Raw genomic sequence first — 13,570 nt, 5'->3', positions numbered from 1 at the left:
ATTTCCTCACAAACCACTGTCTACTCTGCAGGCCACACAGACTTTGTCCCAGGCCACTGTATGTTCTTCAAGTCCATTCATTTTCCCCTAAAAATCATTTACTATGCCCCAAATTGCCAGCTTTCCCCATCTCCCCTCCCCTATGAAGAAGGGTAAAAAAGTATCCATACCCCAATGGGTTACTGGATAATCATTCTTCTGCAATTTCCCTGTGCTGTGCATATCAAAACAAATTTTGCAAGTCTTTTCTCCTATTAATCTGCCTTTTGTCAGTTCATTTTTCAGGGAAACTTACACTTACATAATTTACATATTACTTTTTAGAAGTTTTATAAAATGTTGTCACTATATTTTTAGTGAGACTGAAGGTCACAGAGCACTGTAGTTGATCACATCCAGAATAAAATTTTAGGGAAGGAAATTGTATTTCAAAAGAAGCAAGCCAGGCACGGTGGCTCCAGCCTGCAGTCCCAGCTACTCAGAAGGGTGAGGCAGGAGGATCGCTAGAGCCCAGGAGTTGGAGTCTAGCCTGGGCAACATAGTATAACCCAGTCGCTAATAATCAAACAAAATAACACCCTCCCCCGCAAAAAAAAAAAAAAAAAAAAAATCCAGAAATGAACAACAAAATGGTATCATTTGGAGAGGTGGTCCCTAAGTGATGAACATGTAATTCAGAAATACCTTGTATTCAGAAAGGTGGGAAGAGGCAAGGCAGCCAACCTTTGTTTCAAATTCCAATTGTTTTCCAGTGACACAGAAAAACTGGCTAGGAAACTCAACTTCTGTCTTTTCATGGGGTTGGCCCTACCTTCCGTCCTGATCCTGCTCCTTGGAGCCCTGGTTTCCCTTCTTCCAATCCCAGTGTACCCCTCCCCGCCGGCAGAAGCTGGGGTTGGACAGTTCCCAACAAAGAGGGTTTGTGAGTAGAAGAAACTAAAACATTCTCGATAAGGGAGCTCCGGGCTGCTTTACTGCCTTCTCTCACTAAACTCCTTTTACTGTTACACTGGTAGAGTTTGGGGCTGCTTTTTTTTTTTTTCTTTCTTTTAAACAAGCCCTACCTCCTCTCCAAAAAACAAAACAAACTTGTTGGTTAACCTCATATACTAAAAATTCTTCTCAGGTACAAATCAACTAAGGTGTAAGTTCCTTTCTGGATGCTTCCCCCCCTGTTCTCTTTTAGCATGTGTACAAAGATACATTAAAGCAAAATGAACAGGCTTCCTTATTTCAGTTATTTTAATTTTTAAACCATGACGATTTCTTTAGCCTCTGTGAGGATCAATGAGCATCCAGTCACTGCCTCAAAATTTTCCAAAGTTAAAAAACAAAAAATAATTTAGTTGTGGTTGCTTTCTTGGAATACCAAAGCCTTTGCTGTGGCTCACCTCCCCAGGAATGGCTGGCCTGGCTTTCGCCATAGACTCAAAACAACCTTTCCTGGGGAGTTCCCCAAAAGCCCTTCCACCCAGTGCATTCAATTTCTTTAATGTTTCTTAAAAGGGCAATATTTATTTATAAGCAGTTGTGTCTGCTTTCCTTCTGCCTGGCATGTCTATTACATGGAAAACTTGCAGGCTGCAAAGTCTGTTTAAATTATATTTACCATCCTGACTACTCTCAGCAACCAAGACAATTCTTTTTACTCCACGTGCAATAATCACTAAATTCAGTGGCTAACACTATGCATGAGATGGATACCTAGTAACTATTTGTTGAATAAATGAACAAATGCTTTATGAGGGAAAAATGGTGGAAGTGGTGATAAGGTGGTCATTAAAATGTCCCAAGCTTTGTTTTCATTCCAACCAAGCATTCCAAACTCCCTCAATTTTCATCCATTTAATGTAGTTTAATACCCTCTCTTCCTGCCATGCTCCTGACCTGCTAGTTTCCCTCCCTGTCCACCTCCCTCCTCCTCCATCTTACAATTAGAATTCACTCAGGCCTAGGCTGAGCATCTGAAACTGATGTGTAGTTCCAGCTTTACATTATGAAAAGACAATTTCATCTATTGTCTATTGACAGGGCAATTCTAAACATAAAAAGGCTTTGATCTTTAAAAACATATGGTCTGGATAGAAAAAGATTACTTTTAAAACTATCACGTTCTGTTTTTTGTTTTGCATATAATTCCCAAGGAAATTTGCTACTTACAAATAACAACATTTAAAATCCTCCTAAGACCCATGAAAATTTTTACTTGAAACAGATGTAGAAGAATGCATCCAAGTACCAAATACTCAAGGACCACAACTGCTATAAAATATAACTAATGAACCAAAGCAGACTATTGTCTGTCAGTTGGAACCTGAGAGGCTAATTCAATATTTGTGGCATACCGGTTATCCCGAGGCAATTTAGCACCTTCATCAATAAGAGAAATCTCTAGTGACTCTCCCATCCACAGGTACACAAATTCAACTGGGAACCAGAGAGGTCTGTAGAAGCTCTACCCCCATAGTGATGCAAATTAAGATTTAAACAGTGTAACAATTGGCTAGCGCTAATCCTTTTACAGAGGTGTAAATGGCTATTGAGAACTGAATTCCGGGCTGCTAGCTTTTGTTAAGCAGCATTACAGGCAAATTTCACCCAGGAGCAATGCCCAGCCGTCAACTGTGAGGACTACTGATAAAATAGTTTAATAAAGCCAGCGCAATTTGCTTGTTTTGATATCACATTTCTTGGCCATAAATCTAAGCATGTAACTAGAAACTACATCAAGAATTAGTGTCCTGGGAAAATAAACTGGAAGCGACTATCTCAAGCCTGACACCCGATGGCTGGAACAGCTGTATGTGAGGCCACAGTGAAGTTTGTATACAGGGTTTTGTTTGCCACACAAAACAGTTGTAGAAAGGACAAACACATACATAGTTAAACAGTATTTTTCTTTTAAAGGGCTGTCTTACAAAACCTGTGTTTTTGTGGCTACCTCAATCTCCATTGTGCAGCCCCCTGGGTGGTCCCTTCCAGGGGGCCACTTGAAGGGAGCACAATGCCAAAAAGGAGGGAAGGAGGGGACAGCAACACAAAGGCCAGCACAGCGAGGCGACCACGGCAGGCTGTGGACCAGGGGTCAGCAAACAACGCTCCTTCTCTTTACCCAGGAAACAAGGGCTCCTTCTCTTTACCTGGAAACAGTGTGATGAAGCTGACAGCTTGAATTATGGGCTACATTTGGTAGGGCACCATCCGTCTGTACTAAGGTCCTCTTCATTGTAGCACAGGCTGCACAAGCAAAACCCTTGCCTTTTCCCCACTTTGGCCTCTGAATAGACCTCATCATTCTGTTCCATTTTAATTTTCAGAACGAACCCTCTCCCATATGACTTTTTAAAAAAGTTTCTTAATGAAGAGCTGGAAGGCTTGGGAGAATTTTTAATAGGTATTTCCATCCACCCTTAAAGAGAGAACCCATCACGCATTTGTTCCTCCACCCTTAAACCGCCTGAACCAATCACCCATTTTTAATAGCCAAGGATCATTTGTAATGGTGGCAGACATCCTTTATGAAATGAATAGCATTCTCTCTTTGGTAATTCTATGGATCCCAAACTTAACCCCTTTAACCGAATAGGGGTTCTGTTTTTTTCAGGTTGAAAAAATCCTCCTGACTGGACAGGTAAAGATTGGGAAAATTTACTCTTGCTTCCCTGGGTTTCTTCCAAATCAGCAGCCATAGAAGGGTGAAGTCATTAGGGTGCTGGCTGAGTTCTCCAACTGAGATGCATAAACAGCATGCAGGATGGTGGCTCATACCTCTAATCCCAGCACTTTGGGAAGCCAATGTGGGAGGACTGCTTGAACCTAGGAGTTTGAGACCAGCCTGGGCAACATAGCAAGACTCCGTCTCTTAAAATAAAATACAAAACAGGCTGGGCGGGGTGGCTCACACCTGTAATCCCAGCACTTTGGGAGGCCGAGGCAGGTGGATCATGAGGTCAGGAGATCGAGACCATCCTGGCTGACACGGTGAAACCCCGTCTCTACCAAAAAAACACACACACACAAAAATTAGCTGGGCGTGGTGGCAGGCGCCTGTAGTCTCAGCTACTTGGGAGGCTGAGGCAGGAGAATGGCGTGAACCCAGGAGGCAGAGCTTGCAGTGAGCCCAGATCGTGCCACTGCACTCCAGCCTGGGTGACAGGGCAAGACTCCGTCTCAAAAATAAATAAATAAATAAATAAATAAATAAATAAATAAAATAAAATGCAAAACAGATCTCCAGGGCTTATTATGGAGCCAGCTACCTAAAGTGACCGCTTTAAATATCTACTAAAAAAAAAAAATGTGGAGGGTGTAGGGTCAGAAGGGGTGATCCCTTTCCTCCTCATCATAAGGGTCACAGTCAACACCCTTATAACAAACAGGTTAACAGAAGAAAACAAAACAAATTTTATTTGATCATTGTTTTCTGTGACATGGCAGCCTTCAGATTGAAGACCTAAGGATATTGGGAAAACTTTCCATTTTTATGCTGAAGTTCAGTGAAGAACAGACAACCATGTAGAACTGTGCTTGGCCAAGAAGGTAAGTATGATTGAATGCTAACAGACTGAGTGGGGAAACTCTGCCAGGCCTGTCTGTTCATTCTTCTTGGCGTCTCTGTGCAGTGTTCCTTCCTCCCTGGTATGGGGCAGGACCCTTTCTGAAATGGGGAGTCTTACGACTCACAATCAAACAGGGTAGGTTAGAGAATTTCTTTACGGCCAACTCTGCCACAGAAATACAGGAGGGAAATTCGAGTAATATTTTTAGGTTTTATGGCTGGCTTTGGGGAAAATGGGTTCAGGTTTTTATGATTCACTTTGAGGAAAAGGAATTCTAGTTTCTAAAGCTTACCTCTGAGAAAATGAGGCTGAGGTACAGGAGAGTGGGAGAAGATCAGAGAGAAACTTACTTCTGGGGCCTTCCCTTTGGGGTGTCATTTTCTGAGGCCCAACGAGGGTAAATGTCTTATTATCATACAACTTTATGCCTTCCCCAAATTTAATACAATTAGGCTCTGTATTTTCAAAAAGTTTTAAAATACTACAAACATATCATAAAGAATTTACTAGACATTATAATCAGTTCTATCATTAAACTCTAGAGGTTAAATGATGATGATGAAAAGGTATCTGGTGTTGTCAAGGTAGAATTATCTTTGTGAGGATTAACGGCTGACGCAGGACCATAAAACAAAACATCAGACTCTGCTGTGTTGTTCCATGTCTGTCTGTCTGTTTCTATCCATATATACACGTGTGTTTAAGAGAGGAGACGAGGAGGCTCAGACTGGGCTGGTGAGGGTTACACTAGGTGAGCGGATTCAGGGAGAAGGGAAACAAGAAGGCATGATGGCACGGTGGATAGGCTTACTGAATTTCGGCTCAGGCAATGCTGAGACCCTGAAATAAGCTGCCATGTCACTTCTCTAGGATAAGTGAGTCTCCACAGAGGCCAATTTAGTCTGATGAATGGGAATGGGTCTAGTACAGAGTTATCCTCCACTGAGGGGGCACTCAGATGAGTAGGGCAGGTCCCATCCTGGGTTCTGACTTTGCTCGGGGTCTACTTCCATGATAACAGTGAAATGCCTGGCTTATGAATATCATGCCTCCTGCTCCCTGAGCATGGTAGACACCAAATATAGGATGGCTGAAAGGATTGGGCTGGTTTGCTGTTGAACCCTTAGAGGATCAATATAGGTTGAGTATCCTTTATCTGAAATGGTTGGGAATTTGGATTTTGAATTTTTTCAGATTTTGAATTGTGTTTTTTTTTAATTTTTATTTTTTGATTTTGGAATATAAGTATCCCAAATCTGAAATGCTCCAATAAACATTCATCATGTTGGCACTCAAAAAGTTTCAGATTTTGGAGCATTTCGGACTTTGGATTTGGGGATTTGGGATGCTCAACCTGCCCTGTATTAAACTGAAGATGCTGAATCAATTTATTATTCAAGTGCTTGTTTGTCTAAGAAGCTGCTAAGAGGAAGCCAAAGACAAAAAGAAGAAATAAGAAAAATGAAAGTGGACAAGAACAAGTATTATGAATGGATAAATGGATTAAGTGTGGAAGAAGGGAAGGCGGGATGTAAGCAAGAAAACAACAAAAGCTAACTGGCTCTCCTAGGACAGCCTGTTAGATTTGAGTTTGTTTTCTTTACTGTAGTGATTCTCAGATATATTTTAGTAGAATTATTCTACATTTGAGTAAAGTGGTCTTTTCTAAGTTCTTAGGAAAATTACTCTTTATAATTTTGAGAACCTTCCCAAAATTGGTTTACTAAAGCTTTGGCATCTGCTATCTAGTTTGCCTACTAGAAGATAATAAAATGAATGAGAGTACCGAATGAAAAATAATGGAAAGTATGGAAGTAGCTGGGAACCAGATGCAATGACCTCTTTTGTCAGTGTCAGAGTTTAGGGGATGTCAGACAAGTCCCAATTCCGGGTAAGTGGACTTTTCGAAACGGAAGAAACGGATTCCAAGTGTACTCATGATTACAGATGCCAGTCATGCTCCTAAAACAACCATGCCCAGTCCAGTCCATCACATGGACATCATATGTCCATGTGATGTGTGACACAGCTGATCAGTAAGGATAATCAGTCTCATGACCAGAAATTCTTTTAGGGATTTGGCTATCCTGGAAAGCAGTGCTTTTCAACGTTTAAGGTGGCAGAACACCTGAAATTCACAAAAATTTTTGCCATGAAGTATTGATATATTCCATTTATCACATAAATTAGAACATTTTTTACTAGTAAACAATAAATATATGTACACAATATAAAAATCAAACCATTAACACATACGTCCATGATTTAAGAATCTGTCGAGATCAGCAACTTCCATACTTTCCATTATTTTTCATTTGGTACTCTCATTCATTTTATTATCTTCTAGTAGGCAAACTATATAGCAGGTGCCCAAGTTTTAGTAAACCAATTTTGAGACGGTTCTCAAAATTCAAAGATTAATTTTCCTATGAACTTAGAATGTAGAATAATTCCAGCAGGGCATGGTGGCACACGTCTGTAGTCCCAGTTACTCGGGAGGCTGAGGCAGGAGAACTGCTTGAACCTGGGAGGTTGAGGCTGTGGTGAGCCAGGATGGCGTCACTGCACTCCAGCCTGGGCAACAGAGCAAGACTCTGTTTAAAAAAAAAAAAAAAAGTAGGGTTGGGCGTGGTGGCTCACGCTTGTAATCCCAGCACTTTGGGAGGCTAAGGTGGGTGGATCACTTGAGGCCAGGAGTTCGAGACCCTGTTGGGCAACAATGGTAAAACCCTGTCTCTACTAAAAGTACAAAAATTAGCCGGGTGTGGTGGTGGCTGCCTGTAATCCCAGCTACTCGGGAGGCTGAGGCAGGAGAATCGCTTGAACCCAGGAGGCAGAGGTTACAGTGAGCCGCGATCATGCCACTGCATTCCAGCCTGGGTGACAGAGTGAGAATCCGTCTCAAAAAAAAAAAAAAAAAAAAGGTAGAATAATTTTACTAAAATATATCTGAGAATCACTACAGTAAAGAAAACAAATTTGAAACTAGTACTGTTTTCAGATTTAAAAACACATTTCCAGTCCATCAAAATAACAAGCAAATCAAAATGAATTTACACTGACAAAGGAAAACCGTCAGAAAAAAAGTGAGAAAAATAGTTGAAAGCCATAAAAGATAGGGGACTCAGAACTATTCCTCACATCTCTCTTGTAGGTTAAGGTAATATTCTAAAGCTTCCAACCCAAATTCAAAATAGATTCAGTATAAAAGTACAGAAAGCACGTGCACGTGCATACACACACGTACACACAGACACACACACACACAATTATTTTTTTCCTTTCCTTGAGACAGGGTCTTGCTCTGTTGCCTGGGCTGGAATGCAGTGATGCAATCATAGCTCACTGTATTTCCCAACTCCTGGGCTCAAGCAAGCCTCCCACCTCAGTTTCCTGAGTAGCTAGGATTACAGGTGTGTACCATCATGCCTGACTAACTTATTTTTATTTTTATAGAGCCAAGGTCTTGCTATGTTGCTCAGGCTGGTCTCAATCTCCTGGCCTCAAGTAATCCTCCCACCTCGGCCTCCCAAAGTGCTGGGATAAAAGGCATGCCACGACACGAGGCCCCAGGAAACATTAAAGTCTTATTTCCTGCTTAACTTTCAAGTTTTAGGGTGTCTCATTCACCTGGCCTACCTGCAGACACTTTTCCCTCACTGAAGGGAAGCTTTCCCACTCAGTTATCAAGCTTGAAGGTTCTTTGTCAAATCCCACCTTAAAACAAACTTGGTTTTTCCAAAAGTCTGTCACTAGAAGCTCAACTGCTATTCTTCAAAGGTGAGAACTATAAGTTAAAGATAATTAAAGGGAAAGTATGCCACATAGAACTAAAGAAGGAAGAATGAAATGGGCAACAACAGGCAGTAATGAAGTCAGGGGACCGGGCGTGGTGGCTCACGCCTGTAATCCCAGCCCTTTGGGAGGCCGAGCAGGTGGATCGCCTGAGGTCAGGAGTTCGAGACCAGCCTGGCTAACACAGTGAAACCCCGTCTCTACTAAAAATACAAAAAATTAGCTGGGTGTGGTGGTGGGCACCTGTAATCCCAGCTCTACTTGGGAGGCTGAGGCAGGAGAATCACTTGTACCCAGGAGGCAGAGGTTGCAGTGATCTGAGATCGCACCATTGCACTCTAGCCTGGGCAACAACAGCGAGACTCTGACTCAAAAAAAAAAAAAAAAAAGATGTCAGGGATGCAGAGAAGGAAAGTGTTGGGTCTGCCACCTGGCAACCATTAACAGAACCCAGTTTTATTCTGACGAACCACTACTCCCCTATCCTAACCCATACAGCTTGAGTGAAGCATGAGATCCAGGTAAAAGCCAATGGACTCTGCCCTTGCTTCAGTGATTGTGTAGGGGATGGGCATATGATGTGGTCAGAGCCAATGACAGCCTCTGATTCAGCATGCCAGGGAAAAATTCTCCAGCTGCAGGGCCTAAGAACTGAGTTGATCCAGACGGAGTAGATCAGAGGGAAACAGAGAAGTCAGAGCCCACTGGTACCATCTGAGGCTTGGGCAAAGCCAGCCTGAAGACTGTCTACCACTGGGCTGCATTGACATATGCAGTGAATGAGTCCTACTGCATAAAAAGAGAAAATACACTTTAAAAAGGGTTAAAAGGGACAAAAAAAAATCCTGTAATTTACTGTTTCTGTATCAGTTTTATTTTTATTGTAAGCATGCTAATTCTTTGATTATAAAATGTAAAATATTTTGCATGGCCTGAAAAATATTTAGCACATATGTAAAAAGAAATGGTCATTAAAAGCATTCCCATTATGGGAAGATTTCCAAGGCCATCCGTGAAAGCCGTGAAGCTAGCCACACAGCCAAAGGCGCCCTTGCCTCTAAACAGCAAGCACCACAGAGCTGCGGTCCATGGTTTTTAAGCTTTGGAATTCAAGAGATTCTTTTTTTAACTGCTCTACTGAGATATGACTCACATGTCATAAAATTCACTAACTTAAAATGTACACGTCAATGGTTTTTATTAGTATACTCAGAGTTGTGCAACCATCACACAATCGAATTTTAGAACATTTCTGAAAGATGGTCTTAATTTTTTTTCTGATTATGAAAGCAATACCTATTCATCACAAACAACTTGCCTGTTGCATTCCCATTTTAACCCACCAGTCACAGGACAAACACCTTGCTGGGGTAGAGTTGTCTCCAGATTCAGTCCCTTTGGCTGTTCTCTGCATCTACTAACCTTTCTTTGGACCAAATTTAGCAATCGTGCAGTTGCCTACTCAGTGTCCATCTCCCTTCTTCCTTTTCATGGGACCCCAATTTTGTTTAGTAATCAACCTCTCCCTTGTATAACTCATGGGGCAATAACCCCTTGCCTCATTCCAGAGTAGACTGTGATTAATCTAAGCCAGGAGTGACCAAATCCAGCCACAGCCTGCTGTTGTATAGCTCTTGAGCACATATTTAAAGAGATAAAGAGCAGAGAGAGGGAGGGGAGAGGAGAAAAGAAGTCTAAAATATTTACTATTTGGTCTTTTTTTTTTTTTTTTTTTGGTGGGGGGACAGTCTCATTCCGTTGCCCAGGCTGGAGTGCAGTGGCACAATCTCGGCTCACTGCAACCTCTGCCTCCCGGGTTCAAGTGATTCTCATGCCTCAGCCTCCCGAGTAGCTGAGATTACAGATGCACACCAACACGCCCAGCTAATTATTGGTATTTTTAGTAGAGATAGGGTTTCGCCATGTTGCCTAGGTTGGTCTTGAACTCCTGAACTCAGGCAATCCGCCCACCTTGGCTTCCCAAAGTGCTAGGATTACAGGGCTGAGCCACTGCGCCTGGCCTTACTATTTGGTCTTCCATAGAAAAGGCTTCCTTAGTCTAGAACAATTATAATAACCCTTGCCAGTAATTAGCTTAGGAATGGGTCTGTGAACAAATTTTAGTCAACAAGATGCAAGGGGAAGTCTATTGAATACTTTCCTTGCTTCTAACAGAGACTCAAGAAGAGAGTCTCTTTCTGTCTTTGGAAGCTATATAAGGCTGTGGTGTCTAGATGGGGTCCTTGGTATTTATCCACCTTCTGACTCCTCACTGTGTCCTCAGACGGTGGGGGCGAGACAGAGCTCTCTTGTGTCTCTTCTTATAAGTGCATTTAATTCTATCATGACAGCCCTACCTTCCTGACCTCATCTAACCCAAAGTACCTCCCAAAGGTCCCTTCTCCAAATATCACACTGAGGGTTACAGCTTTAACATATGAATTTTAGAGGGACACAAACATTTAGTCCATAATAGCACTGCTGCTGCCACTTTGCTCCTGGCTGTAGGAAGAGGTCAACACTGAGGATGTCAGAGCAGGGAAATGGAAAGGATCTGGGTCTTTGACAACAAAAGTGATGGGCAGTACCAACCAACTCCATGGCCTGCTCTACCTCTGGACTTCCAGAAATGAGACAGAACAAATGCACTTCTTGTTTAAGCATCTGTGTTTCAGACAGTGTTCCTGTTATTGGCAACCAACAGCATCCTGATATATCAAGATAATAGCTGAATGTTCAACAATGCCAGAAAACTAAGTTTTAAAAAAGAACTCAGAAGCCAGGTGCAGTGGCTCACATCTGTAATCCCAGCACTTTGGGAGGCCGAGGAGGGTGGCTCACTTGAGGTCAGAAGTTCAAGACCAGCCTGGGCAACATGGTAAAACCACATCCCTACTAAAAATACAAAAATTAGCCAGGCATGGTGGCGCATGCCTGTGATCCCAGCTACAAGGGAAGCTGAGGCATGAGAAACGCTTGAACCTGGGAGGTGGAGGTTGCAGTGAGCCAAGATCACGCCACTGCACTCTGGTATGGGTGACAGAGTGAGACCCTGTCTAAAAAAAAAAAAAAACTTGGATAGATGGCTTTTCAGTAATTCAAATTTGTGTTTCATTGAAAAGAATTTAAGGAGATATTTTAAAATGACAAATGTGCATCCTGCCCCTAACATGTCTCCTCTTTGTCCTTTTAAAAAATCTGAGTTAACAATAGAACCCTTGCCATTGGTGTGGCTGGGCCAGCATGAGGCAAGACCAGGTGGCTGCTCTTGTGTGCGGACTGGAGAGGTGAGGAAAAGACACTTTGCAGACCCTGACTGCATCCCCTGGGCCTACAGTGGTGCTGTTTGCTGGCATGTGAGCCACTCCTTCAGTTGGAGAAACAATAGTTCCCAGATACGGGCCATGCTTGCTTATCTCCAGGCCTCTGTTCATACTGCAGCCCTCAAAATCTGGAATGATGAATCTCCTTCAACTAGCCAAACCAGTCATCATGGTTATTCCGGTTACCTACTGCTGTATAATAAAATACTACCCAAATTTAGTGGTATAAAACAACAACCAACAACTTTTTATAATCCTCATGGCTTCTGTGGTTCAGTAATCTGGACATGGGTAGGGCTTGTCTGTGCTCCATGATGTCTGGGGCCTCAGCTTGAACATCTGAGGGTGACTTGGAATAAAGGGACTGGAATTATTTGGTGATTCCTAAACTCACATCTGGAGCTTGGGCTAGAACTACTGGGCTCAGCTGGGACTACTGACTGGAGTACCTATACCTGGCCTGTCACTGAGGCTTGAATGCTATTGGGCTCATTTTCTTGGAAACCTGCCTATGTCCTGCTTTCTCCTGCCTTATTTGGGTCTTGAACAACCAGGGCTTGACTCTCAGAGTCTCCTCTCTAACTTCTGAAACCATGGGTAAGCCTGCTCCACCAGAATAAACTACTCTTAGATCTCAAATTCGTATTGAAAGAAGTTGAGTTTTGCTACACCCGTAGTAGGATTTGGCTTGACTGCTGGTTCCCTTCCCAACAGAGGCTGAAGTCGGCTCTATGCTCTCAGTAGCCTTCCTGACTTTTCCTCCCCTTGCACCCGTCCCTCGCCCCACCCCCTACCACTTATTTGGCTCCAAGAGAGTGGGGGTAGGGCACCTTAACACTTACTTGGGAGACTGCCCCAAAATGTCATAATTTACTTAAATATAAAATGGTGAAAAAAATTCTAGGAAAAGAGTTGTCATCGTCATCATCTTTTTAAAAAACTGCCTGAATTTCCTTATTAAAAAAAAAAAAAAAGGAGCAAAGAGCAAACCAAAAACTCACAGATTTTTGAGTTTGAAAATGAGGAGAAATACATAGCAATATAATACTGGTGGGAGACTTCAGTATTCCATTTTCAATAATAAATAGAACAACCAGACAAAATCAACAAAGAAACAACAAACTTGAATAACAGTACTGGTCAAATGGACCTAACAAACATATACAGAACACTCCACCCAAACGCAATAGCATTCTTCTCAAGTGCTGGCAAAACATTCTCTAGAACAGATCACGTGTTAGCTTACAAAACAAGTCTTACAAATTTAAAAAGACTGAATCATACCAAGTATTTTCTCTGATGAAATGGAATGAAATCAGAAATCAATAGCAGAAGCAAAATTGTAAAATTCACAAACATGTGGAAATTAAACAACACACTAACAACTAATGGATCACAAAATAAATCAACAGGGACATTAGAAAACATCTGAGACAAATGAAAACAAAAATACAACATACCGAAACTTAGAAGATGCAGCAAGACCAGTATAAGAGAGAAGTTTATAGCAGTAAAAACTTACATTTAAAAAGAAGAAAAGCTTAAATCAACAACCTAACTTCACACCTTAAGTAGAAAAACAGAACAAACCAAGCACAAAGTTAGTAGATAGAAGGAAATAATAATGATCAGAGATAAATGAAAAAGAGAATACAAAAAATAGGAAAAAAAATCAATAAAACTAAGACTTTTTTGAAAAAATAAACAAAATTGACAAACCGTTAGCTAGACTACTTAAGAAAAAAGAGAGAAAACCCAAATACATAAAATCAGAAATGAAAGAGGAAACACTGCAATTGATATCACAGAGATTAAAAAAGATCACAAGAAACTATATAAACTATTACAAACCAACAAACTGGATAACCTGGAAGAAATAAATAAATTCCTAAA

General features: G+C 41.6%; 1 protein-coding gene across 14 annotated transcripts in view, besides 5 other annotated features; it reads right to left on the bottom strand.

Moving 5' to 3' along the window:
* KIZ (kizuna centrosomal protein) overlaps positions 1-13,570 on the bottom strand; it is a 120,648-nt gene that overhangs the window by 53,733 nt on the left and 53,345 nt on the right. The gene's annotated exons all lie outside the window — the stretch shown is intronic.
* Positions 1,420-2,393: an enhancer, noted in NCBI's record as "OCT4-NANOG-H3K27ac hESC enhancer chr20:21171137-21172110 (GRCh37/hg19 assembly coordinates)". NCBI's record gives its function as "activates a minimal SCP1, AML or CMV promoter by ChIP-STARR-seq in primed H9 embryonic stem cells {active_cell/tissue: H9 hESC(primed)}" and the evidence as "EXISTENCE:reporter gene assay evidence [ECO:0000049][PMID:30033119]".
* Positions 1,420-3,367: a biological region, named in NCBI's record as "hESC enhancers GRCh37_chr20:21170163-21171136 and GRCh37_chr20:21171137-21172110".
* Positions 2,387-2,681: a silencer, noted in NCBI's record as "tiled region #8283; HepG2 Repressive non-DNase unmatched - State 15:Elon". NCBI's record gives its function as "represses a minimal TATA promoter and a strong SV40 promoter by Sharpr-MPRA in HepG2 cells {active_cell/tissue: HepG2}" and the evidence as "EXISTENCE:reporter gene assay evidence [ECO:0000049][PMID:27701403]".
* Positions 2,394-3,367: an enhancer, noted in NCBI's record as "OCT4-NANOG-H3K27ac-H3K4me1 hESC enhancer chr20:21170163-21171136 (GRCh37/hg19 assembly coordinates)". NCBI's record gives its function as "activates a minimal SCP1, AML or CMV promoter by ChIP-STARR-seq in naive and primed H9 embryonic stem cells {active_cell/tissue: H9 hESC(naive and primed)}" and the evidence as "EXISTENCE:reporter gene assay evidence [ECO:0000049][PMID:30033119]".
* Positions 11,492-11,992: an enhancer, noted in NCBI's record as "H3K27ac hESC enhancer chr20:21161538-21162038 (GRCh37/hg19 assembly coordinates)". NCBI's record gives its function as "activates a minimal SCP1, AML or CMV promoter by ChIP-STARR-seq in naive and primed H9 embryonic stem cells {active_cell/tissue: H9 hESC(naive and primed)}" and the evidence as "EXISTENCE:reporter gene assay evidence [ECO:0000049][PMID:30033119]".

The sequence above is a fragment of the Homo sapiens genome, chromosome 20 (assembly GCF_000001405.40).
Source record: "Homo sapiens chromosome 20, GRCh38.p14 Primary Assembly".
In the NCBI taxonomy this organism is placed as follows: domain Eukaryota; kingdom Metazoa; phylum Chordata; class Mammalia; order Primates; family Hominidae; genus Homo; species Homo sapiens.
This window is presented reverse-complemented; position numbering and strand designations above follow the sequence as displayed.